This window comes from Homo sapiens, chromosome 2 (assembly GCF_000001405.40).
Source record: "Homo sapiens chromosome 2, GRCh38.p14 Primary Assembly".
NCBI lineage: Eukaryota > Metazoa > Chordata > Mammalia > Primates > Hominidae > Homo > Homo sapiens.
The window spans coordinates 161689198-161715994 of NC_000002.12; the positions used below are offsets into that span (position 1 = coordinate 161689198).

The window sequence follows — 26797 nt, forward strand, 5'->3', positions numbered from 1 at the left end:
TTATTGTAGCCTAAGTGTATCGTACGGTGTTTATGAAGTCTACAGCAGTATACAATTATGTCCTAGGCCTTCACATTCACTCACCACTCGCTGACTCACCCAGAGCAACTTCCAGTCCTGCAAGCTCCGTTCACAGCAAGTGCTCTATATGGGTGTACCATTTTTTATATCATATTTTTACTGTACCTTTTTAATGACTAGATAAGTTTGGATTCACAAATACTTACCATTGTATTACAATTGCATACACTATTCAGTACAGTAACATGCTGAACAGGTTTGTGGCTTAGAAGCAATAGGTTATACCTTATAGCATAGGTGTGTAGTAGGCTATCCCCTCCAGATTTTAAGTACACTCTATGATGTTTGCATCATGACGAAATTGCCTAAGAACACATTTCTCAGAACATGTCCCTGTCATTAAGTGAGGCTGTACTTCATGTAATTAATACTGTAATTAATATTTGGAAATCATAATCTTTAAAGAAATAAGATCTTTCCAGATGTTATATTTTCTATTAATGCTTTTGGGCACTGACATTTTTTCCTAGTTAAATCAACACTTTAGTGGGTAAGACAACCATGCAATAAGCACAGCAGGCTCTTGGCAAAATCATGAAGCAAAACAAATATATCTTTTGAACGTTCACCTTGTCTTTTGGTGCATTTTCATTCAGATTTTTTATTCAGGTTCTCTTTTTGACATGCTCTGCCCTGAACACACCAGGCTCCCAGACTCCTCAAAACTTTTCTGTTCTCTGAAGAATATAGTGGATTCATGGCATATACTAGTGTTCAAATGAATTTAAAAGTTTCACTGACAGAATAGGAAAAAAGTTTTGCAATCTATTCATCTGACAAAGGTCTAATATACAGAATCTAGAAGGAACTTAAACAAATTTATAAGGAAAAACAACCCATTAAAAAGTGGGTAAGGGACATGAACAGACACTTCTCAAAAGAAGACATTTATGTGGCCAATAAACATATAAATAAAAGCTCAACATCACTGATAATTAGAGAAATGCAAATCGAAACCACAATGAAATACCATCTCATGCCAGTCAGAATGGTGATTATTAAAACGTCAAGAAACAACAGATGCTGACAAGGCTGTGGAGAAATAGGAACGCTTTTACACTTTTGGTGGAATGTAAATTAGTTTAACCATTGTGGAAGACAGTGTGGTGATTCCTTAAAGACCTAGAACCAGAAATGCCATTTGACCCAGCAATCCCATTACTGGCTACATACCCAAAGGAATATAAATCATTCTTTATAAAGATACATGAATGCATATGTTCATTACAGCACTATTCACAATAGCAAAGACATGGAATCAACCCAAATGCCCATCAATAATAGACTGGATAAAGAAAATGTGGTACATATATACCCTGGAATACTATATAGCCATAAAAAGGAATGAGATCATGCCCTTTGCATGAACATGGATGGAGCAGAAAGCCTCCTCATTAAACTAAAACAGGAGCAGAAAACCAAACACCACATGTTCTCACTTATAAGTGGGAGCTGAACAATGAGAACACATGGATATAGGGAGGGGAACAACACACACTGGGGCCTGTGGCAGGGTGTTGGAGGAGGGACAGCATCAGGAAAAATAGCTAATACATGCTGGGCTTAAAACCTATGTGATGGGTTGATAGGTGCAGCAAACCACCTTGGCACCCATTTACCTGTGTAACAAACCTGCATGTCCTGTACATGTATCCCAGAACTTAAAGTAAAATAATATTAAATTAAAAAAAAGAAATTTGAAAGTGGTGATAACCAAATTATGACTATAATATGGACATTAATTTGATTTCCATATGCATATAGACACTATATATGTACATATAGGTACATACATATCTTTTGAATTGTGCTTTAATTTCTGCAGTCAAATATGATGCAGTGAGATATAAGTATAAACTTTCATTATACATCAAGAAAATCAAAAGCTCATTTACAGATATAACCCAACAGTTGTATTCCCTAGAAAGTTTTGGATTTTATTTAGAAAATTAGACACTATTTTCCCATGGCTATAAAATTTAATATTGCCTTGAACACATGGAGATAGAGAGTAGAAGGATGGTTATCAGAGGCTGGGAAGGGTAGGTGGGGGTGGGGTGGGGGTGACGTTGGTTAATGGGTGCAAAAAAAAAAATAGAAAGAATGAATAAGACCTAGTATTTGATAGCACAACAGAGTGACTATAGTCAAAATAATTTAAATCCTTAAAAAATAACTAGAAGAGTATAACTGGGTTGTTTGTAACACATAGAATAAATGCTTGACAGGATGGGTAGCCCATTTTCTATAATGTTATTATGTATTGTGTACCTATATCAAAACATCTCATGTACCCCATGAATATATACAACTACTGTGTACCCACAAAAATTAAAAATTAATATTGTCATCATTTTAAAAAGTAAATAAGTATTATTGAGCTCTTATATACGCAATTCTGTGACTTTCAAGAAGCATAAAATATGGTTTCTGCCCTCAGGAGGGCAGAATCTCATAGAGGAGATAATCTTGTAGAGGAAACAAGTCTTCCATTCCTTTGTTCATCAAACATTTGTTGAATGTTTATATATTCAAATTAGAAATCCATTCTCTTGAGGAATTTACAGGTTAAGACACAAAACATACATGAATGTTATGAAACAAGTTTGTAAATGGTGAATGGACATAATAGAAGTTCAAATAAAATATTATGCATTTAGAGGTCATGTACATAAAAAGAAAGGTGTCCATGTGAAGTAGTGTAGGCTACATGTCAAATGAAAGAGGTTAATAACATGGAGCTTTAGAGGACAGATTAGTCATGTAGTTTGAGAGAAGTTGGGGAAAATTTTATTTAGGAGATATGACAAATTCTCCTTAAACAAAGAAAAGAAAAAAGAAAAGAAAAGAGCAGTGGAGTCTGTGGAAAGGACACCCCAGAAGGAGGGACTTGTAAGCATATGGTTCCACACGTTAGAATGGTTATATGATCCTCTGCCTTTTTATAAATTAGCATTTTTAAGAGATTAAAAATTTTTATGTAGATATATAGAAATATAAAATTAGATAATTATTCAAAGAAAAATATATAGGACTATTAAATGTTGTAATACATTTTTCTATGGGCTGAAATTTGGATTGTTGAGCATACTTGATTCACTTTATTGTGAGAATAATATTCCTTGTCTGCATGATTATAGAATGTTGTTATGGTGAGTTGCACCTCAAGTATTTGAATATAAGGTAGTTAGTGTTCCTTGAGAGAATTGAACTTTTAAGTCAGTACTTAACACGTAATATGAAATATTGTTTTAAAGAGACCAAATGACTCCAAGCCTAAAATAGCTTAATAAAGTCATTTTGAGTGTTAACGTTGCTAATGAAAGACTCTTCAATCAGGTAGAGGAAATGTCAGCAGCTAGGACAGCATGGATAAAGGCAGGTCACAGGGGCAAATGATGGCAGTATTTATCAAGTCCAATGTAGGGCATTGAGCACTCGATCTAAAAACCTCCAATGACTTATCTAGATATAGATGGTAGATTTTTACCTTATATAATCAGATGTTTAAATTTTAACTAACTCGTCCAAGTTCGATGCTACATTTGCTAAAGCAATTTTCATTACAATTTGACTTTCCATGGTGCTGTACTGGAGAGGAGTTAGCAGCCTTAGCAGCCATGTATCGTAAATTGACAAATCTTGGTGAGCAAAAAAAAAAATTGTATTGTTTTTAACAATGTAAAAAGGCAGTTATTTATTTTCAGGTTGCTTAAATTGAAACAATAAACAGTGTTTCACGGATGATTGCCATGTTCCCTTTTATTCTAAAGGCAGATGAAAGAGTGATTCTCTCAGAACTGGAGAAAAAGGCAAGTTCGAGTGTATCACTTTAAATTCTGTTATGATTTTTACACCTTAGATGGCCCCTAAATTACAAAACTTCTTTACGATTTCAAAACTTTAAAGGGAAAGGGAGCATCTTGGTTGTTTGCTGGCAGTATTGTTCTATACAGTTTGGGTAAACCCTGGGACAAATGCATTGGTCAGGAATTCCAGAACTACTGTTTATTTTAAATAATTTAAACTTTTTAGATATTAACTTAAAACAAATCTTATCCCAGCTTTCACTCAAACAAAAATATCCTCAAAAATGACAGAATAAAAGTGATGGTTAAAAGTATGGATCTGAAATTTCAGGTTTAAACTGTTGTCTACTTCCTAGAAACCTGTGGGCCAACTGTGCTCATAACAAGATCTCATCCAGCAAAGATTTGCAGCATTTTTCCTTTTTTGCTATATCTGGCTTTTATTTTTTTCAGTTCTATTGAGTTTAATTAACAAATAAATGAAAAATCAAAGTTTGTACCATTTGACCAACATCTCCTCATTTTCCCCACCCTTCAGCCTCTGGCAACCAGCATTCTACTCTCTGTCTCTACAAATTCGACTTTTTTTTTTTTTTTTTTTTTTAAGATTCCACATATAAGTGATATGTACAGTATTTGTCTTTCTTTGTTTGGCTCATTTCACTTACCAAAATGCCCTTCAGGTTCATCCATGTTGTCTCAAATGGCAGTATTTCCTTCTTTTTTATGGCTAAAAAATATCCTATTGTCTGTATATACCACATTTTCTCTATCCATTCGTACATCCATGGATGCTTAGGTTGTTTCCATATAATGGCCATTATGAATAATGCTGTAATAAACATGGGAGTGCAGATATCAAAATTGTGTTTCTTAGGGTGCAAGTTTAAGAGAAATACTCAAAACTTGGCACATTCACAAAAGTGTTGCCAATCATTGAGGTCTCTTCAGAGACAACTGACTTTTCCAGATTACAGCCCCTTTTCTTTTATTACTCACTTTACCTTTATCCTACAATAATTTTTTTGAGAACATGTGTGACTTTGATACATATCATTTATTATTTATGACCTGATATCATAGTTGCTTAGTATAAATAAATCAAAATTGTAAGGTCAGAGGAACAAATATTTGCATTTAGGGATTAATGATGGAAGACCTCATTAATTAAGACAAGGATTGAGACACCTTAACTCCCTCAAAACTTGCATGTACAGCTCACATGTTTGTGCTACTATTTATGCATAGGTATTTTTTTCCCCAGACATAACTTTATGCTGCTTAAGGCTAAGACCATATTTTACTTCCCTTAAACCTCACAATGTTAAAGAAGAAATACGATAAAATGTTTAATGAATGAAATTCAGAGACTACAGCAGATTGTTAAAAAAAAAAAAAGGAATAAAGCCTTTCTGTTTCTATATATACTGTACATATTTAAAGAGAGGAATTTACTTTAGAAGTAACAGGAAAAAAAACACCTGACTTTGTAAGGATCAAAGCTTTAGTGGAGAAACACAAGGGCATAACAAACTATTATGTTTGAGGCTAATGGACAGAATAATTCAGATTCTTGTTTGATTTACGTTCTTTGAAGAGTTGCTAGTTGGCTGAATTAATTTAAAACAGGCTTTAAACCTTAACCCAATTTTAAATTGAAATGGTAACCATCAGTCAACAGAAAATAAAGTTGCACAATTCTTTGGAAGAAATATTAACACATCCCCTTCAGTCATTATTATTTTAGTTTAAAATTACTGCTAGATGTTAATGATATTGAGATAGATTATTTCAAAAATCTTAGTATGTCAACATTGAATTTTTTTTATATCTTTGTGTCCCATAATCAAAGTTATTATGGCCTTAAGCTAAATGTCAACACTCCATTTAATTCTCCAGGTATCTATAAACAAAAAAAGACTGAATGTGAAATTGTAACTAAGCAAAAATATTTGTATATGTAAATATGATGTAGTAATTACTTCTTTTCCTCCAAAGATATTTGGAGTTCAACAAAATATAGACTGGATAAATATTATAACTTTACAATACAGAGAAATTAAGAATCTCTAGAGCCAATTGAGTAAAGGAGAAAATGGTTTTCAATCTTCCTTTATTCTGTGTTTCTGAAGTTTTCTGTTCTGTGCCATGGACTGAAACTGATTTTTAGCACACCTATAATTAGCATTGATTTTAAATATTATTTACAAATCAACTCTTTTTGCTGATGTTTCATTCATACCACTTAATTTGCTCTTATATACCCAATACTAGTTGTTCTTGGAGGGAAAGAGAGAAGAGTAATTTTAAAATTTCATTTTATTGAATTTTTGCATACTGTTGCATTTTCATCCTTCAGGAGGTACGATTTTAGAGATAAATTCTCCTTGGTCATCTTCTCAATCTAAAATTACACTGATATCAACTCTTAAGTGTAGTTCTTTGAAGACTTTAACCTACATATTTATAATCATTTATGTTTAACAAACCATTTATTGATTAGCATTTAGAGGCTTCTCAATATTGTGCTGTTACAAATTCTGTTGTTATAATGATCGTTGCACTTATATCTCTCTGCTCTCATTCCTTAGGCTATTTTATAGAATATCTTCTCAAGAGTAAGCATGTTCAAAATTATTATAGCTCTATTTACAGTCAGGCTTAAGAATCACTCTTTCATTAAACTTAAGAGCTTCTTAATAGGCTAATTCCTGCATTCTACGACAATAAACACTAAAGAGAACAATAATTCAAAGGAACAAATGTTTAGTGATAGCAGTTACCATGGCTACCTGACAATTATTTATTTATTTATTCATTTTTCTTTTTTATTTTTTTATTATACTTTAAGTTCTAGGGTACATGTGCACAACGTGCAGGTTTGTTACATATGTATACATGTGCCATGTTGGTGTGCTGCACCCATTAACTCATCATTTACATTAGATATATCTCCTAATGCTATCCCACCCCACTTCCCCCCACCCCACGACAGGCCCCGTGTGTGATGTTCCCCTTCCTGTGTCCAAGTGTTCTCATTGTTCAATTCCCACCTATGCATGAGAACATGTGGTGTTTGTTTTTTTGTCCCTGTGATTGTTTGCTGAGAATGATGGTTTCCAGCTTCATCTGTGTCCCTACAAAGGACAAGAACTCATCCTTTTTTATGGCTGCATAGTATTCCATGGTGTATATGTGCCACATTTTCTTTTTTTAAAAATTTTATTATTATTATACTTTAAGTTTTAGGGTACATGTGCACAATGTGCAGGTTAGTTACATATGTATACATGTGCCATGCTGGTGTGCTGCACCCATTAACTCGTCATTTAGCATTAGGTATATCTCCTAATGCTATCCCTCCCCCCTCCCCCCACCCCACAACAGTCCCCAGAGTGTGATGTTCCCCTTCCTGTGTCCATGTGTTCTCATTGTTCAATTCCCACCTATGAGTGAGAACATGCAGTGTTTGGTTTTTTGTTCTTGCAATAGTTTAATGAGAATGATGATTTCCAATTTCATCCATGTCTCTACAAAGGACATGAACTCATCATTTTTTATGGCTGCATAGTATTCCATGGTGTATATGTACCACATTTTCTTAATCGAGTCTATCATTGATGGACATTTGGGTTGGTTCCAAGTCTTTGCTATTGTGAATAATGCCACAATAAACATACGTGTGCATGTGTCTTTATAGCAGCATGATTTATAATCCTTTTGGTATATACCCAGCAATCCCATTGCTGGATCAAATGGTATTTCTAGTTCTAGATCCTTGAGGAATCGCCACACTGTCTTCCACAATGGTTGAACTAGTTTACAGTTCCACCAACAGTGTAAAAGTGTTCCTATTTCTCCACATCCTCTCCAGCATCTGTTGTTTCCTGACTTTTTAATGATCGCCATTCTAACTGGTGTGAGATGGTATCTCACTGTGGTTTTGATGTGCATTTCTCTGATGACCAGTGATGATGAGCATTTTTTCATGTGTCTTTTGGCTGCATAGATGTCTTCTTTTGAGAAGTGTTTGTTCATATCCTTCGCCCACTTTTTGATGGGGTTTTTTGTTTTTTTCTTGTAAATTGGTTTGAATTCATTGTAGATTCTGGATATTAGCCTTTTGTCAGATGAGTAGGTTGCAAAATTTTCTCCCATTCTGTAGGTTGCCTGTTCACTCTGTTGGTAGTTTCTTTTGCTGTGCAGAAATTCTGTAGTTTAATTGGCTCCCATTTGTCAATTTTGGCTTTTGTTGCCATTGCTTTTGGTGTTTTAGACATGAAGTCCTTGCCCATGCCTATGTCCTGAATGGTATTGCCTGGGTTTTCTTCTAGGGTTTTTATGTTTTTAGGTCTAACATGTAAGTCTTTAATCCATCTTGAATTAATTTTTGTACAAGGTGTAAGGAAGGGATCCAGTTTCAACTTTCTACATATGGCTAGCCCGTTTTCCCAGCACCATTTATTAAATAGGGAATCTTGTCCCCATTTCTTGTTTTTGTCAGATTTGTCAAAGATCAGATGGCTGTAGATGTGTGGTATTATTTCTGAGGGCTCTATTCTGTTCCATTGATCTATATCTCTGTTTTGGTACCAGTACCATGCTGTTTTGGTTACTGTAGGCTTGTAGTATAGTTTGAAGTCAGGTAGCATGATGCCTCCAGCTTTGTTCTTTTGGTTTAGGATTGACTTGGTGATGCGGACTCTTTTTTGGTTCCATATGAACTTTAAAGTAGTTTTTTTCCAACTCTGTGAAGAAAGTCATTGGTAGCTTGATGGGGATGGCATTAAATCTATAAATTACCTTGGGCCGTATGGCCGTTTTCACAATATTGATTTTTCCTATCTATGAGCATAGAATGTTTTTCCATTTGTTTGTGTCCTCTTTTATTTCATTGAGCAGTGGTTTGTAGTTCTCCTTGAAGAGGTCTTTCACATCCCTTGTAAGTTGGATTCCTAGGTATTTTATTCTCTTTGAAGCAATTGTGAATGGGAGTTCACTTATGATTTGGCTCTCTGTTTGTCTGTTATTGGTGTATAAGAATGCTTGTGATTTTTCCACATTGATTTTCTGTCTTGAGACTTTGCTGAAGTTGCTTCCCAGCTTAAGGAGATTTTGGGCTGAGATCATGGGGTTTTCTAAATATACAATCATGTTATCTGCAAACAGGACAATTTGACTTCCTGTTTTCCTAATTGAATACCCTTTATTTCTTTCTCTTGTCTGATTGCCCTGGCCAGAGCTTCCAACACTATGTTGAATAGGAGTGGTGAGAGAGGGCATCCCTGTCTTGTGCCAGTTTTCAAAGGGAATGCTTCCAGTTTTTGCCCATTCAGCATGATATTGGCTGTGGGGTTGTCATAAATAGCTCTTATTATTTTGAGATACGTCCCATCAATACCTAATTTATTGAGAGTTTTTAGCATGAATGGTTGTTGAATTTTGTCAAAGGCCTTTTCTGCATCTATTGAGATAACCATGAGGTTTTTGTTGTTGGTTCTGTTTATATGCTGGATTACGTTTACTGATTTGTGTATATTGAACCAGCCTTGCCTCCCAGGGATGAAGCCCACTTGATCATGGTGGATAAGCTTTCTGATGTGCTGCTGGATTCTGTTTGCCAGTATTTTATTGAGGATTTTTGCATCGATGTTCATCAGGGATATTGGTGTAAAATTCTCTTTTTTTGTTGTGTCTCTGCCAGGGTTTGATATCAGGATGATGCTGGCCTCATAAAATGAGTTAGGGAGGATAACCTCTTTTTCATATTGATTGGAGTAGTTTCAGAAGGAATGGTAGCAGCTCCTCCTTGTACCTCTGGTAGAATTTGGCTGTGAATCTGTCTGGTCCTGTACTTTTTTTGGTTGGTAGGCTATTAATTATTGCCTCAATTTCAGAGCCTGTTATTGGTCCATTCAGTGATTTTTATTTTATTATTATTATTTTATTTGAGATGGAGTCTCGCTCTGTCGCCCAGGCTGGAGTGCAGTGGCGCGATCTCAGCTCACTGCAAGCTACGCGTCCTGGGTTCATGCCATTCTCCTGTCTCAGCTTCAGGAGTAGCTGGGACTACAGGTGCCGCCACCATGCCTGGCTAATTTTTTGTATTTTTTTAGTAGAGACGGGGTTTCACTGTGTTAGCGAAGATGGTCTCGATCTCCTGACCTCGTGATCTGTCGGCCTCGGCCTCCCAAAGTGCTGGGATTACAGGCGTGAGCCACCGCACCCGGCCGACATTTATTATATTTCTCTTGTTTGAGTCACCTTTGAAATTGTTCTTTTATTTACCATAAGAGTAGCTTCAAAGGTGACTCAAACAAGAGAAATATGTTTTGAGTTTTGAAATAGCCACCCCGGCATAGAAAGGTAATTTTAATGGCCTGAAAAATGTCTTCATTTTTAATGATTCACAGCATAGTTTAAGCATATATTAAGTTCAAATGTTGCCAGTGTATTTATTAGGTGTGATGGAGGAATATGAAAGTGAATCATACATATGATTTGTCTTGAGGATCTTAATAATTGTAAATGAAAGACAAGATTAAGCCTAAAAGAAAGTGAAAATGTTTCAGAGTAGTCAGGAAGTTAAAATTGAGGATTAAAGGGCTTTGAGAAAGGGAGGTGGAACCAAAAGCATGTAATCAAGGAAGGTTTCATGGAAGATGTTCTTTGTTCAACTTTGATGGATAGATAAGATTTAAAACTATGGAGATGAAGGAGAGAGGCCTGCATTCTAACAACAACAAGAAGAACATTTATTAAGTATTTCTTATTTCCTGGATTTGAGGCACTATGAATTAAGCACTTTATAATTTTAGTTAATCTAATTTTTCAACAAATGCTATGTAGATAGATACTGTTATTATCTACACTATATTGATAGGGAAACTGAGGTCCACAGAAATTTTGTAACTGATAAAATATCCTAGGGTTATTAAATGGCAGCACTAAGATCTGAACCAAGATCAGATGTAATAGCATGAACAAAACTTGAGGCCTTAAAACATTGAGTGATTATTGGGAATGGTGAGCTGTTGGGTTTAGGTAGAGTAACTGACAATTAAAGGCCAGTAGTTGTTGATGAGATTGGAAAGATCTGTCAGGATCAGTTATGGAGGTCATCAAACACTAGCTTAGGAAACCTATAGAGAGTTTTTGACTAGCTAATGACATAGTGGTTTTGGACAGGTAGAAAATAAGACTAAAGAGAGGTTACTGGATTTTGTAACTAGGTGGTCATTCATATAGCCATCGCATTTATTCAGTAATTTCTTTGTCCCAGGATTGTGAGGCAAATGTTTCCAATGTTGAAAATAATGAGAATAGAGAAATGGCCATTGGATGTGGAAAGAAGAAGGAACTGATCATCCTTCGTTATGTACTTTATCTCCTACATTTAGCTTATCGACTTTTTAAATGATCCATTGGATCTTCCCTTAATAGTGAAGATGATAACAATAATAAAATAATATCATTTATTGAACTTATATTTGCTAAACTATGTTGATTGCCTTATGTATACTGTCTTCTTTAACCTTCAAAATAGCTTTATGAGGTAAAACAATATTAACTGTATTTTACAGATGAGGAAACTTAAGGTTGGAAGCTCAAGCAGCTTTGCTCATGGTTACTAATTGGTGAATCCAAGATTTAGTCAGTATTTGACTCAAAAGGCATCAGAATATAAAAGCTACGTTATTGCACTGCACTTTTTTTATATAACAGGTTCTGCTCTACGCGCTCTGTAGTGTCTACATTCTTATTCTCAGATCTTGGAAACTACTGCTCAGCCATGTATTTTGTGTCTGATTCAGTCTGATTATTTCATAATTTTAGTTTATACAGTTTTTTCTTTTTTTGATACTATAACAAGTTAATCTTTTTTAGAATGATAGTAGCAAAAATATATTCAGCAATGACTCTATGACACGCAGTGCGCTACCTGCTTCACATGTAATAATCACATTTAATCCTTGCACAACAATCTGCCTAGGGTTATCATAATTTTACATTTGAGAAAACTGAGACAGAAAGCATATATACAGATCCCAAGGGCAAAACCAGGATTTGAAATTGGTAGTGTGCCTCCATAGCCTGTTTTTCTAAGCACAGACATATGAGTCCTTTTGACAAATAAAGGGTGAGTTTTGAGGGTTTCTAGTTTTTTCTTTTAGGTGTTTTTTGCTGTTAACAATCTATTTATTTATGATCTGTGAACCTGTCTGTGTTAGAATTTAAAAAGACAAAACCTGTCTTTAGCTTTCATAACTATCACTTTAAGTACAATTGTAGTGTTGCCAAAATTGCATTTTTTCACTGCACACTATTTATTTTCATTTAACATTTAAAAATAATTGTAATTGATATATAATAGTTGTACATAGTTTGGGATATATTTGATATTTTGATCCAAGCATTCAACTGTAATGATCACATCAGGATAATTGGGATATCCATCACCTCAAACAGTTATCTTTTCTTTTGTTGGGAACATTCCAATTCTTCTCTTCTAGCTATGTTGAAATATGCAGTAAGTTATTGTTGACTATAATCTCCCTACTATAACAGTGAATACTAGAACTGATTCCTTCTATCTAATTTTATTTTTGTACCTATTAACCAATTTCTGTTTATCCCCCTTCCTTTTACCCTTCCTAGCTTCTCATAACCACCATTCTACTCTCTACCCCCATAAGATCCACATTTTTAGCTCCCACATATGAATGTGAAATCATCAGAGATATGCAAATCAAAACCACAACGAGATACCATTTCACCTCAGTTAAACTAGCTATTATGAAAAAGACAAAAAATAACGGACACTGGCCAGGCTGCAGAGAAAGGGGAATGCTGGTACACTGTAAGTAGAAATACAAAGTAGTACTGCCACTATGGAAAATAGTGTGTGGAAGTTCCTCAAAAACTAAAAATAGAACTACCATATGACTCAATTCCACTGCTGAGTATATACCCAAAAGAAAGGAAATCAGTATATTGAAGAGATATCTGCATTCCCATGTTTATTGCAGCATTTCACAACAGCCAGGATATGGAATCAACCTAAGTGTCCAACCACAGATGAATGGATAAAGAAAATGTGGTATATATAAACAATGAAATATTATATAGCCATAAAAAGAATAAAATCCTGTCATTTGCAGCAACATGGATGAAACTGGAGGTCATTATGTTAAGTGAAATAAGCCAAGATTGCATTTTAATTATAGCTAAGTTTATCAAAAAATTTCACTTAAGGGATTATTATTTCAATGGATTTTTTAAACAATGAAAACTTTTAAAGATTAAATACATTGCAAATGTTTGTTTATATTTTCCTATCATTTACTTAGCACTGGAATAGTGCTTGGAGAGAATAAGTTGACACATTAAAAAATATTGTCTTTACACATGGTATTTTGGAGACTTATTGGTGGCTTTTTGGTCCTCCCAAGTTATTCCTTGGCTGAAGGTATATCTGATAGTCATTTGGAAGGTTTCCTAAGGCTACAAAAATCTGTCTTTCTGTTTCAATGAGTAAAATAGCTTGCTCTGGGAAAATGACTCCCTCTCTCTAGGTCCACTCATTCTACAGATGTCACAGAGAAAAAATAAAGTCTATGTCTACATTTATCATTGCGTTGGTTTTCAATTAGTCTGCTTTGCCAACTTTTAATAACTTCTATTCAAAGAGTTGTTTTGCCTTACAATCCTAAGTATGTTCTCTATGGATCAGCAGTGTATCTTTGTCTATAAGCGTAGAAACAAGGACGCTTTATTTATCCTAAGTTTTTGTTGTTACTGTTAGAAAACCTACAAAGATAAGTCTATTTGGTTTAATTATAGTTAATTTAAACCTTTGTGTTAATGTATGCCTACCTTTCCTTTTCCATTTTCATATTAACTTTTTGAGACCATTTTTCTACATAGAGACTGTGTGATAACACAGTTTTGGCAAGACAATGAGTAAACATGATATTTCTATTGGAGACTGTAAATAGATATAACCCTTCTGGAGGGAAATTCAGCAATTTTTACCCAAAGCCTCAAAAACATTAACATCCTTTGATCTAGTAAGTTTACTTATTGGGGTTTATTCTAAGAAAATAGAGGATGTATGTAAGGCTGTGTGCACAAAGATGTTTATTACACTGTTATTTATAATATTGAAAAATGGAAAAAATGGGAAAGTCAAAGAATAGGAGATTGGTTCAATAAAGTATGGTACCTCTATTTGATAGAATACCAGTTAGCCATTAAACATTATGTTATAGAAAAATACTTATTGATGTAAGGAAATGTTAATATAATACTTGGTAAAGATTAATAGTTTACTATCATTTTAGGTGTATATTATTTAAAATACTAAAACTAAAATATCAATAATGGTTATCTCTGTATAATGAAATTTTATGGATGATTCTCCCCACTTTTTTGATCTTTATGTTTTCTTCTGTTTGTATAGATATGAAGCACTTTTGTAACTGGTACAAAAAGTTAGTCAAATACAAAATCAGTATTTTCTAGAAAATTATTACATCTCTTATTTTCCTCTATTGTGTGATCTCCTATACAGTTTTACTGATGATGAGGAAATTAGAAAAGAAAGGAATCTATTAATAACTGGAGTAAAAAGAAGAAATGATGTATTATTAAGGTTTGCTGCAGTCATTTGTATATTGAGAGGATACATATCTTTACCTGTTTAGGAAGGCAAAGTTGTTTTATTTGAGGCACAAACACTTCATCTGAACTGACCCTATGTGTTGTGGCACCCTACAACATCTGCCTCAACAGGCAGCATTGATTATTTGCCATAATAATTAGGATTTCAATAGAAATGGCCAGCCTCCATCTATAAGGTGTTCTTTCCTAATAGCTTTGCTGTACATTATACATACGTGGTGACCTATGCCCCCAAGTTCAACCATATTCCTTGTAAATGTGAAAATATGGTAGTTTCATCACTTCTCAAAAAAAGAGAAGTAGGTATTCTGCAGTACTCTCAGTGCTTTCTATTGTCCTGCTGTTAGTGAAAATCGCTTAAGATCATATCTAACTAACAATGATTAGTTAGACAAATAGTGTCAAAAATTATGTCATACAATTTTTTTCCAGTTTTTTCATATAGCACTAAAACTGTTGTGAGAGCTAATTTGTCAAAAACGGTCTGTACTAGCTTTAGCCCAGTATAAATAAAGTGTGAAAGTAAACAATCAATCACACACGCACATAATAAATAATATGCAAAGCACAGAAGGAATGATTTTTTCAAAGTTTAGTCAATGAAAGTAGATTTGAACATTTTTTATGAAATTAGACCAGAAATATGAGTACAACATTAGAAATATTGAAATCTGAAGCAAAATTTTTAGTAAAAAGAGGAAGCACATGAGAAACAGGGGTATTTGTTGAACTATTGAAATACTCCAAAGAAACTAGTTTCTATTTTTATGAAAAACAATGAAGTCTGTAGGTATATATTTATAAGATGAGTCATATTGGGAGCCATCTTTAAAAAATCAGACATTTTGTCTATTTCTTTTGTTGTATGTTTTACATAGTTGAGGTTGTACCCCACAAATATATTGGGATCTTGCTTTCCATTTAATATGCTATTATGCTATATATTTTCCTTTATCATTAACATCTTTTGTTCTTAATATTCAGTGGTTACATGGCATTACACTTTTGGTGTTCCATAATTTAATTAAACTTTCTCTTATTGTTTCTACTTTTTCTTTACTTTTAAATAATGTAGCACTAAACATCTTTGAGCATAAATCTTAATCTGCCCTATTGCCTTCAGACAGGAAATACTAAGATGAACGACTGAACATTTTTAAGACTCAATACATTTTGCCAAGTTATCTTGAGAAGATGAACTAATTTACACTTTTTAAAGCAGTAGTATGTAAAACAAAATGAATTACTTGTATTTACTGAGGTATTTGAAGCAAGTCACTTTTGAATACAAATAAAAGGTAAAATCTTTATGATAAAAGTAAACTTTAATATAGAAAACTTGTGATTCTTATAGTTTTTTTACTGTTTCTCAACCTAAAAATATTAAAATGAATGCTATTTGAATTACTAAGATATGGTATATTTATACAAAAATATAATTTCAAACAGTGACTTATATTGGGGAAAACTAGGAAACAGGAATTAGTAGGGCCAAGGAATTTTGACCTTGGCCCTACTAATAACTGACCTTGGGTATGTCACTTAACTTCCCTAGATTTTAGTTTTCCCCATCTGTAAAATAAGTGCATTGGATCACATGATCCCTTAGAGATGAAAAGCAAGAGCTAAATGAGTAGTAATTATTATAAAGAAGTTCTTGCTCTTTTTAAGATGCTCATCTTTTATTATTTGAGATGTTCTTATGTGCAGCAAGTCATCAAATAAATAGAGTTACCCTCAATGTACGCTTTTTACTCTGCTGTGGTCTGAATGTTCTTGCATCTCCAAAGTTCATATGTTGAAAATGTAATCACCAATATAAGGGCATTAGGTGAGACATTTGGGAGATGATTAGACCATGAAGGCAGAGACCTCATAAATTGAATTAGTGCCCTTATAAAAGAGGCCCCAGAGAGTTGCCTTGCCCCCTTTTCTTCCATGTGAGGTTAGAGTGAGACTTCTCAGCCTTGGGAGCTGTGAGAAATAAATATTTGTTGTTGTGGCATTTTGTTATAGCAGCCCAAATGGACTAAGATACACTCTTTTGGCTCTCTCTTCATTCAGTCCAAGGGTGTTCTGCTAGGTTTTGGCTACTCTTCATTTCTTTTATCAAATATTTGTTAAGGCTTATTAGGGCCTAAAGTCTAGAGGCATTCTGCTTTACTATTATGACCATATCTTAATAACACTGGTATGAGTAACATACTGTATGAGTAAATAATTTGTTTTAGAGCAATGGTTTTCTAAAAATGGGAGATCATAGTTTTTAGTAATTAATTGTGTTAAATTACTATTAAGAGGGTCAAGTAATAGATGTTAAGTAATTTTTTGGATTAAATAGATCTTATCAACTAGATAATAGAGAGATTAAGAGCTGCTTTGCACTCAGGTTTCATGTTTTTATTGCAAAGATCAATTGTGCTTACAAGAAAACACTGAAGGAAATTGGGGATTATATATACTAATTAATAACATCCAGAGAATGATAAAAATATCAGTGTTTGTATTCTTGCTGTGACAAAATACCTGAAGGAAAAGTTCAATTTTCTTATTTTTCATTATTGATTCATTTAATAACTTTGATATGTAATAGTATAGGAGATTAGGAATGAACCTTGCTTGATGTTTCGCTTTTCCTCATTTCTCACATTCAATCCCTGAATTCTATCTTTTTTCAATAAGATGTGTATCTGGATCTATTCATTTCTCTTCATTCCTATTGCCACTTCTTTGGTTCAGGCCATCATCATCCCCTGATTGAAATTATTTAACATTCTCCTGATTTGTCTCCCGTCCTCCAGTTTTGTTTTACTCAATTGATTGTCTATAGAGTAGCCGGGATATTTTAAACCTGATTATGCTGACAGTTTCTCATTTCCCTAAGGGTAAAGCTCACACTCTTTAAATGGCTCCTGACGCTTACCGTGACTGGGCCTCACTTCTCATCTCTTCCCTCTGTTCTTACACTTTATGGTCTAACCTATGTTGTATTTGCCATTCCTTGAATGTGACTAGATCAGAATCTTCTGTTTTAACAGTACTTCCCTAAGGAAATCTTTTCTGATCCCTAGATTAGGGTAGGATGCCTTGCTACGGCTTTCATGTCAACTTTTAATTCTTCAGTTATAACAAAACATGCTTGTTTGATTTATCTGCTTTCTGTGATGGCAGGTTTTGTGTTGTTTGTTATGGAGTCCCTAGCACCTATATAGTACCTGACACATAGAAGATATTCAATATTTTCTACAGGAAAGAATGAATATAGAAAGAGAGACGATGTAGCTTAGGAAGGCTTTATTGAGAAGATAGGTCTTAAAGGATGAGTACCTATTTTGATTATAATAAGAGGGTAAATACTACATAGATGGAAATATTTGTTTACATGTGATTTTTCATTCAGATGTGTTATAGTATACATACAGCAGAATACCAAGCTCTGTGTCTCCAACCTGTGCAGTTAGAGTCAGTAGTTTTTCTAAAAGTATAATTTGGATCAGCCCAGTTTCTTAAGACTCATTGTGACTAGTCTCCATCAAATGTTGTGAGTGAAAGAAGGGAAACTATTCACAGGTAAATAAAGTGTTCATAGAGTCGTGAATTCAGGCTATTCATAATGTGAGGGCTGTTTCAGGATAATATGTTGCACTTGGTGTCTTAATTTTGAATGTAGTTGAATTGACTATAATCTTAGTCTTTTTTTTTTTTGGTTTGTGTTTTCTTTAGTTATAAAACACAACCTTTTGTCACACGGTAAAGAGAAAGCATTTCCAATTATAATTTTTGAGATATTGATTCTATATTAGAACACTTTATCAATCTTAAAGTTCCCTGATTCTGCTATGTTGTGGTAAAAGAAAACAGTACTCAAACTTTAATAAATAAGACACAGTGAAAATCCATAGTAAAAATGCCAACAACTTACATAGGTTTCATTACTAGACTTAACCGTGCAGTTTTAGCATTTGATAATACCACATTATCTTTTGCATGTAAATTCTTTAGAAGAAGATATTAAATAAAAAGATAAAATGTATGTTGGTATGAAGAATCTGAAACATAAATGAAATCCCTGAAAATTAAAAGGTGAATATGTATTTACCTATTTACTATTTACACAACTATCAAAGATTGCCAAAATAAAAATCCTGTATAGGCGCTCATCATTTTGATGGGTGGATAAGTCGTGATACCCATAGTTTGGAAGGAAGATTCCTTCAAGAGAGTACAATTTTGCTTGGTAAATCTTTTGCATGTTAAACTTTTTAGAAGAAGAAAGTAAATAAAAATATAAAATGTATGTTGGTATGAAGAATCTGAAACATAAATGAAATTCCTGAAAATTAAAGGGTGAATATGTATTTACCTATTTACTATTTATACAACTATCAAAGATTGCCAAAATAAAAATCCTTTTTAGGCACTCATCATTTTGATGGGTGGATAAGTGATGATATTCAGAGTTTGGAGGGAAAATTCCTTTAAGAGAGTATAATTTTGCTTGGTAAGTCATAAAGCCTAAAGCTTAGTCACATATAGAGAAAGCTGCCTAATAATTAAGAGTTGACATTTTAACATGGTATTTGCAACAGACACATTGGATACTTAATTAAATGGAAAACTGCTTATTTTTAAAGGACTGAAAAAATTCAACTCTCCTTGGCAAATGAAGTCTTCATAGTATCAGAAATGGGAAATCTGAAGGATGTGGCTCATTCTCTGTTTCGATGATGCAGAATTGCTCTAAGCAGTAAGCTTACAGTTTTCAGACAGCATCAGCAAATACAACTGTGTCAGTCTCTCTTAGTATGGGGTGTTTGTAACTGCACAGGGGAGATGATAAATAGTATATGTGATTTGATATCTTGATGATGGCTTAAACAGATACTGATGGACAGATCTGTTGTTTGATATTTTTTTCACTAGCCCTGAAGATGCTGAGACATAGAGATGGCTGTGATTATCTTTTGTAAGACAGGAAATGCAGTCTTTAGGGGTTTCTGGAAATAGAAAGGTCATGCAGTCTGGAACCTGTGAGCCTTTTCAATCTCTAAGTCATCAGGTATGACCTCATGAATTATGATGATAATATTAGAATGTAGGGTGCTTGCTTTTTCTAGTTCTTACTCATTGAAAATATATTCATTAATGTAATTGTTTATTGTCAGACTTTCCTTAGGATATTTGAACAAGTAAGATTTATGGCAGCTAAACAATATGATTATTAGAAATGTGTGTGTATGTGTGTGCCTGTGTGTGTGTATGTGTTTAAATTTGTGTTTACTTTAGCTTTTTGGGGGAGAGGGCGGTAAAGGAAGAGATTCTTTGAATGTGATTAAAAGCAAGGTTTGGGGCACTTCAGATTTTTCCAGATTAAGCCTGAATAGAGTCAATCTTTATATTTTACTTCAAGTGATAAAAATAGTATAAATCGATCAAACTGATAAGGATACATCGTAGCTAGCTGCTTACAGATACTGATATATTGCAAATATTTTTATTATTTGGAATTTCTTAACCATAGAAACTGATGCTGCTACCATTGTAGTGTGCTACATAGCAAAGGAAGTTTGGTGAATAGAATCATCTTTGTCAGCATCTGACCTATAAACTAATTTCCTGAAATTTATGTTGCATTATCTGAACTGTTGTAAAGACACTGGTTTTAATCATTTCTCAGATCTATTGAAATATTGATGCTCTTGGTGCTTTTAAGGTAGATATATACTAACGTATTGTTCATAGAAGAAAGGAGACTATAAATCTGTTTTTCACAAAGAAAGCTTGTGACATTTAAGCTTGTTGAAGATTTTTTGACCCAGAGAGCTTCGTCCTTTGCTTACTTTCATTTTCAAACTGAAAATACTTGACTATGTTAAACATGCAAATGATTTGGATTTCGATGTCCATTTTGTACTGAAACTCTGCCATTTATTTTAAACTATTTTCACCCATCAAGTTATATATAATGCATTTAACTTTGATTTGTTACAGCATGTCCTCAGAATTATATACTTGGATAAGAAACTACCTATATTTGACATTCAGATTTTGAAGGAAATATATTTCATTTTTCAAAATATTGTACATGCTTCTGCCTCAATGTTAGAGAACTTTTCAGGTACTCCATATTAAATGATCAAAAAGAGAGAAATATATTGCAGCAGTTCTCAACAGCAAGATGGTTTTGTCTTTATGATTCTGTAGCCTGATTGTAATTTAATGCCTTATCAGGGTGAAATGACATAGATTAAAAAAATGAATATATTTAAGGAAGTCTGAAACAATGAATTGATTCAGTTAAGGGGTTTCTCCTTTTTAATTAAAAACACATTCTGCCTACTGATATTGACTATAATTTATATGTTATTCAGGCTACTTAGCCAGCTTATATTCTTATTAGTAGGGAAGATTGGCATATTCTTAAGCTTGATTAATTTTGAAATGATTTGAATATACCTTTTAATTGCAACAAAATATGTCTAATCTGTTAGAATTTATTTCCAGTATTTGCATGTATTAGTCATTATGAGTACATTCTGTTTCTTGGCATTGCTTTGGGATTCCTCTTGGTATTGGTTTCACAGCATTCTGCTATTTTTCACTGTATTCCTGACCTTTCAAGAGAACCAAACTGTAAAGATTTTTAGTTACTTTCTGTTAGTGGCATTTAAATGAGGATATCGATAATTTTGTAAGGTGGAAAAAAATTACTATTTTAGAATTGTCATTTCTGTCACAAATCAGAGAAATTTTTCTCTATTACTATTTCAAAATATACTACAATAAAAAGCAAAGACTGGTTAGAATGTAGTTAAATGCAATGTCAATCTTTCTTCTTGCATGGCAGGATAATCTTGATCTTTGGAATGATAAAACTGATTGTAAACTTGCCCAGTAATGATTGGTCATCTTCCTTACAAAGGCTGCCTTCGTTTATACTATTTTACATGCATTTCATTATACATCATAAAGGTTTTAAAGGTAAGCTGCCTATAAAAACTATTTGAGTAATTCTTCAATTCAGTAAACATAGTAAAGGCTGAGCATTGGATGATACTGTATGTATTTGGTGTTATGAGGAATGCAGAAAAGAAAAAGTCATTTCCTGCTTTCAAGGAGATTAGAAAATATATACAATAAATTGTGTTCACATTTTGAATTGATTTTTGATAGGCAGTATGCTACAATCAGTTTTAACTTAATCTATAAGCTGATGAATCCTAGAAGGAGTTACATGTAACCTTTTTTCCTCATGTAAATTTCTTGATATTAGATAAATGAAGGCTTAGGTCAAACTGTATCATTATGCATCCCATAACTTTATTGAAAATTGCATTAAAGACTTTTAGAGTGCATAGTTTCTCGTATAGGGCTTTATAAACTGTGAATCAGTAAAATAGCAAAATAGCTTTGCATGTTGTATAAGCCATCATTGTCAGTATGAGACTGAAGGTGCACCCAGTCCACTGGCAGGAGGCAGAAGTGTCAGCTCAACATAGAGACTTGATCAATCCTGTCTAATTCCAGGCTCAGTGTGGGTAATTAAGTATTATGGAAGGGGTTTTGACTTTATAGGGATAAAACTTGGAAATAAAGAGTAGCAAGTATGGAAGTGTCTGTTACTAACTAGGTCATTTGGAGAGTCCTTTGAATAAAATGGGGGAATAGGATTTACCTCAGGTTCTGAGAAAGCGGATCAGGACCAACTAATTATGGAAGTGGACCTTAGCTGCTGCTTGGTGAACAGTCAGGCATTACTCTCTTCTCTTTCATTCCAATATGTTTGCTGAAAGTTGCAGGAAGGTGGGTGGAGAAGATGCAAAGCCCTTGTTTCCCCAGAATCCCAAACTGGAACACGCTGCCTGATAGTGCCTCCAAAGTGCCTGTTTCCTTGTATTAGAGCAATAGAAAATTGATTTGCAAATTCTTCTGGTTTGTAATGGCTGGCTGCAGTAAGAGGCTTGTGCAATGGTTCAGTGTCTGGACTGCCATGTTCTCTGGGTTCAAATCTTAGCTATGCTACTTACTGGCTGCATGATCTTGGCTTGTTTCCTGATGTGTAATATAGGGATAATAATGGCACCTACCTCAAAGAGTTGTGGTAAACATTAAGTGAGTTAATGTATGTGAAACACTTATAAGAGTACCTGACATATATCAAACATATTATTGTCAACATCCTTTGTCGACAGACTTTGTTATAGACATTCTAAGAGGTTGGATGGGCTATTGGCAAGACTTTGTAACAGTCATCATGCAGTTTAGTTTTGTTCCCTCTCCCTTAATCTCTTTATCAAATAAGAAATTCAGCCAAAAATATATGCTACACTGAAATATAGTTATAAAAATGCAAACAAAGAACAACATGCTATATCTGATTCAATTCTAACATTTACTGACAATAAGAATTGTGACTTGATGAAAGATTTTGTGTTTAAACTTTACATCTACCTGCTAGGCTGATCCAAACTCTCTTAGAATTCTATGTGTGCAGATTCTTTGCTTCTCTGTATTACACCAACTACTTTATTCATGACTGAAAGATTACTAGGACTTTGGGAAAATTTAACAGCAACTTAAGGTCTTTCTTGTTTATTGTTTAAGACTAAAATTAAGGGGTAAAAAAAAGCCTTTCTTTAAAGGCTTAAAAAAAATAATAGGGGCAAATTTACCTAGCATAGATTTAGTGATACTTAGTCATCAAAAATGTCCAAGACAAAAAATTTTACCGAAAGTCAAACACAACTTGTTTTTAATAATTTTATTTCTTGGCATTTTTATTCTAGATGAAACACTAAATGAAATATATTATAAATAGAATGCTACATATATAAGTAGAACAATTCAAGTTCCCATTTGATAGAGTATAATATTTTGAATTGCTGGTGATTATTTAATGTAAAAACATTTATCTGCTTAAAATTCTCAATAAACTTCAAAGAGAAGTGAGTAATATGATATTTGGATTAAATTTACATGCTTAAATATGGCATTTTATTACATCTCTGAATTTCACTTCTCTTCTCTGAAGAAATTTCCTCAGTGTGCTGCTGTTTCCCCCAAATTGGCAGAGTCAGTTGAATCTCAGAATAATGCAATTTTTAAAAACAAATATACAAAATCCTACAATGTTCTAGAAAGAATTGTACTGGGCAAGGATATAAAAGTCTGTAGGTCTCTGCCTTCAGGAGGTCACAGGTAATGGGTTGTAACTACAAAATACAAGTAACTATGGCAGAATATGAAAGTAGTGAATGCCATGAGGTAGTCTTGAAGACTGGCCAACATAGAGAGAAAAGGTCATTTCAGGCAGAGGAAACAACATCATTAAAGGTAGGGAGGCAGAAAGCAAATAATAGAATAGTTCATTTTGGCTATAGCCTAGTGGGATAACTTAGACTTACCACAGGAAAGGTTTGTTGGGACCAGATAAGTGTAGAATCTTGAATGCTAGACTATGATTTCTAAACTGAGAACATTTCTTTGCTGATGTACGTATTCCTGGAAAAAATAAAATAAAAAAAACAAAAGAGCAGTACCTATATTTTGAAGTCATTTTCAGAGCTCTAACCCTCTTGAGACTTTGAGAATGAAAATTAAATTCCTGAGTAGATTTAGTAGTTAGTAGACAAGGTAGGGGGTAGAAACAAACTGAAGGATTTTAATAAAATTTTCTATCAAAATTGCACATGAGAGCATTTCTCAGTCTATCCACAAGCACTCAAAAGTCCTAGATTTCAGATCCTAAGAGACCTCCTGCTTGTCCGTGATGTAAACTCCATTTTATTGGTACGTAATCTGATTTAGCTTTGGCTTTGTTTTTGACATTTCCTAAAGCAAGGACAATCTAGTGGGATCATTTTAATACAATGAATACTCATGTTACTATGGTGAATAGTTGGATAAAAAGGACTTTGTCTTAGGGAAAATTGGAAATTAAAATTGCCATTTTGAATCACGGAAGTCGCTGAATATTTTACCTTTGTTCTCTGTTCATTTAAAAATCATAAAGTAAACCATGTTTGCAAATACTTTTAATATCGCCTTCTTCTACTCCATACACCAGAGGCATTTTAGTATTGCATGAGGTTAGTAAAAAAGCTGGATACCTTCCAAGAGCAGATTTCCTTTAGATGTGACAGCTGGGATGTGACTTTTGGTATCAGATGCAGGAAGACGTCATTTGTACATGGTAATTGTGAAAAAATTGGAACTTATTACTCTCAGTATAAATGATCCATAAAAAGTATGTCAGAAGTAAAACTCCTGGAATTCTACAGGGAGAGTTAAAATAAAACCAGACACAGGTGCTCATCTGACTCTATTTTTAGAACAATAGGAGACTCATATAACTGAGAATGCTCTGTACTTCCTGTATAAATCTACATTATTTGAAAGTCGTATTTTCTAGAAGTTCCTGTGAAGTTGTACTTATTAATCTTTGCAACTTCACATTGCCTAGGAAAGAGCCATTCACCTGGTAGGAACCCAACAAATTTTCAGTGCTTGTCTTAGAATCATAGTCCCATTTCTGAAAGAAACCTTGAATATCATTGGGCTTCAAGTTGTTCTAAAAATGTTTAAGCATTTAAACATGGTTTTCTTTCTCAAAAAGCAAATAGAAGGCATTTAGAGGAAAAGGACCCTTTCTTCACCTTAAGACTTTTAAAAATGGCAATATGGGAAGATTAATAAGAAGAATAAGTTAAGGGAGAATTCAATATTCCTCCATGAAACTACTCTTTCTAAAAGGCAACAGAGACTGGTTCCAGTGAAGCATATTATGATGTGTGGCGTGTAAATGTATATCATTATCCCTACTCATCTTTTTCCCCAAATTCAATTTAATCTCATAAGAATTTATTGAGGCTACTGTATAACATGGAGGAAAGCTGTATACCACAGTAGCAAGGAGCTAGGGCTCCAGAGCGGGACTCCTGTGTTATGATCCCATATCTTCCACTTTACTGGCAATTTTTATCTTAGGAAGTTACTTAATCTCTCTTTTCTTCAGTGTTTTCATCTGTGAAATGAGGACACTAATACGTTAATCTCTAGAGTTGTAATGAAAATCAAATAAAATAATAAATTAATACTTCAAACAGTGCCTAGAGTGTTTGATACAGTGCCTAGCTTTTGGTTATTATAATTATCCCCACTGAACTAGGTAAATGCTACAAATATGTATGTGTATATTTGTGTGTATACACACAAATATGCATATATGTACACACACATACTGTACATCCTATGTAAACACAATTTTAGTATGTATGTATGTCTATACATACGTATACATTCTACCTTAAGTATATATAGTATACTGAAAAAGAAATTTAGTAGTTTGCCCAAGATCAAAATTGCCTGCAAAGGATAGGACAATTTGAGTTTCAAACCCAGAAAGTCTAGCTCTACAGCTGTTGGCCTTAACTACTGTTTCATACTGTTTAGAGTATAAACACCTGAATTAGATAGCCATGTATAAATTAGCATATTCTAAATGCCAAATTGAGACTAAAGACATGAAGGTAAACTGAAACTACTGTGAAAGACTTAATGGAAGAATTGTGACTTTTATTTGATTTTAAGTTCTGGGATACATGTGCAGGATACGCAGGTCTGTTACATAGGTAAATGTGTGCCAAGGTGGTTTGCTGCACCTATCAACCCATCACCTAGGTATTAAGCCCAGCATGCATTAGCTATTTTTCCTTATGCTCTCCCTCTTCTCACACACCCCTCAGCAGACCCCAGTGTGTGTTTTTCCCCTGCCTGTGTCCATGTGTTCTCATCTTTCAGCTCCCAGTGAGAACATGTGGTATTTGGTTTTCTGTTCCTGCGTTAGTTTGCAGATGATAATGGCTTCCAGCTCCATCCATATCCCTGTAAAAGACATGATCTAATTCCTTTCTATGGCCACATAGTATTCCAGGGTGTCTATGTACCACATTTTCTTTATCCAGCCTATCATTGATGGGCATTTGGGTTGATTCCATGCCTTTGATATTGTTAATAGTGCTGCAATGAATATACGCACGCATGTATCTTTATAATAGAATGATTTATATTCCTTTGAGTGTATACCCAGTAATAGGGTCAAATGGTATTTCTGGTTGCAGGTCTTTGAGGAATTGCCACACTGTTTTCTACAATGTTTGAACTAATTTACATTCCCACCAAAAATGTAAAAGTGTTTCTGTTTCTCCACAGCCTCGCTAGCATCT

The 26797-nt window shown here is 33.9% G+C and overlaps 1 protein-coding gene across 25 annotated transcripts in view; it reads left to right on the forward strand.

Annotated features, from left to right (window-relative positions):
* SLC4A10 (solute carrier family 4 member 10) overlaps positions 1-26797 on the forward strand; it is a 360855-nt gene that overhangs the window by 64782 nt on the left and 269276 nt on the right. For 6 of the 25 annotated variants that reach the window (NM_001354441.2, NM_001354442.2, XM_005246694.4 and 3 more), the window contains exon 2: positions 19497-19632. The exons of 12 other annotated variants lie outside the window; for them this stretch is intronic. In NM_001354441.2, the coding sequence (NP_001341370.1) occupies positions 19552-19632 (81 nt within the window). In that variant the 5' untranslated portion in view covers positions 19497-19551. Of the gene's footprint in view, positions 1-19496; positions 19633-20564; positions 20692-21420; positions 21555-26797 lie in introns of those variants that run through there. 7 more of the 25 variants (NM_001354461.2, NM_001354447.2, NM_001354460.2 and 4 more) reach the window with 5 other exon arrangements.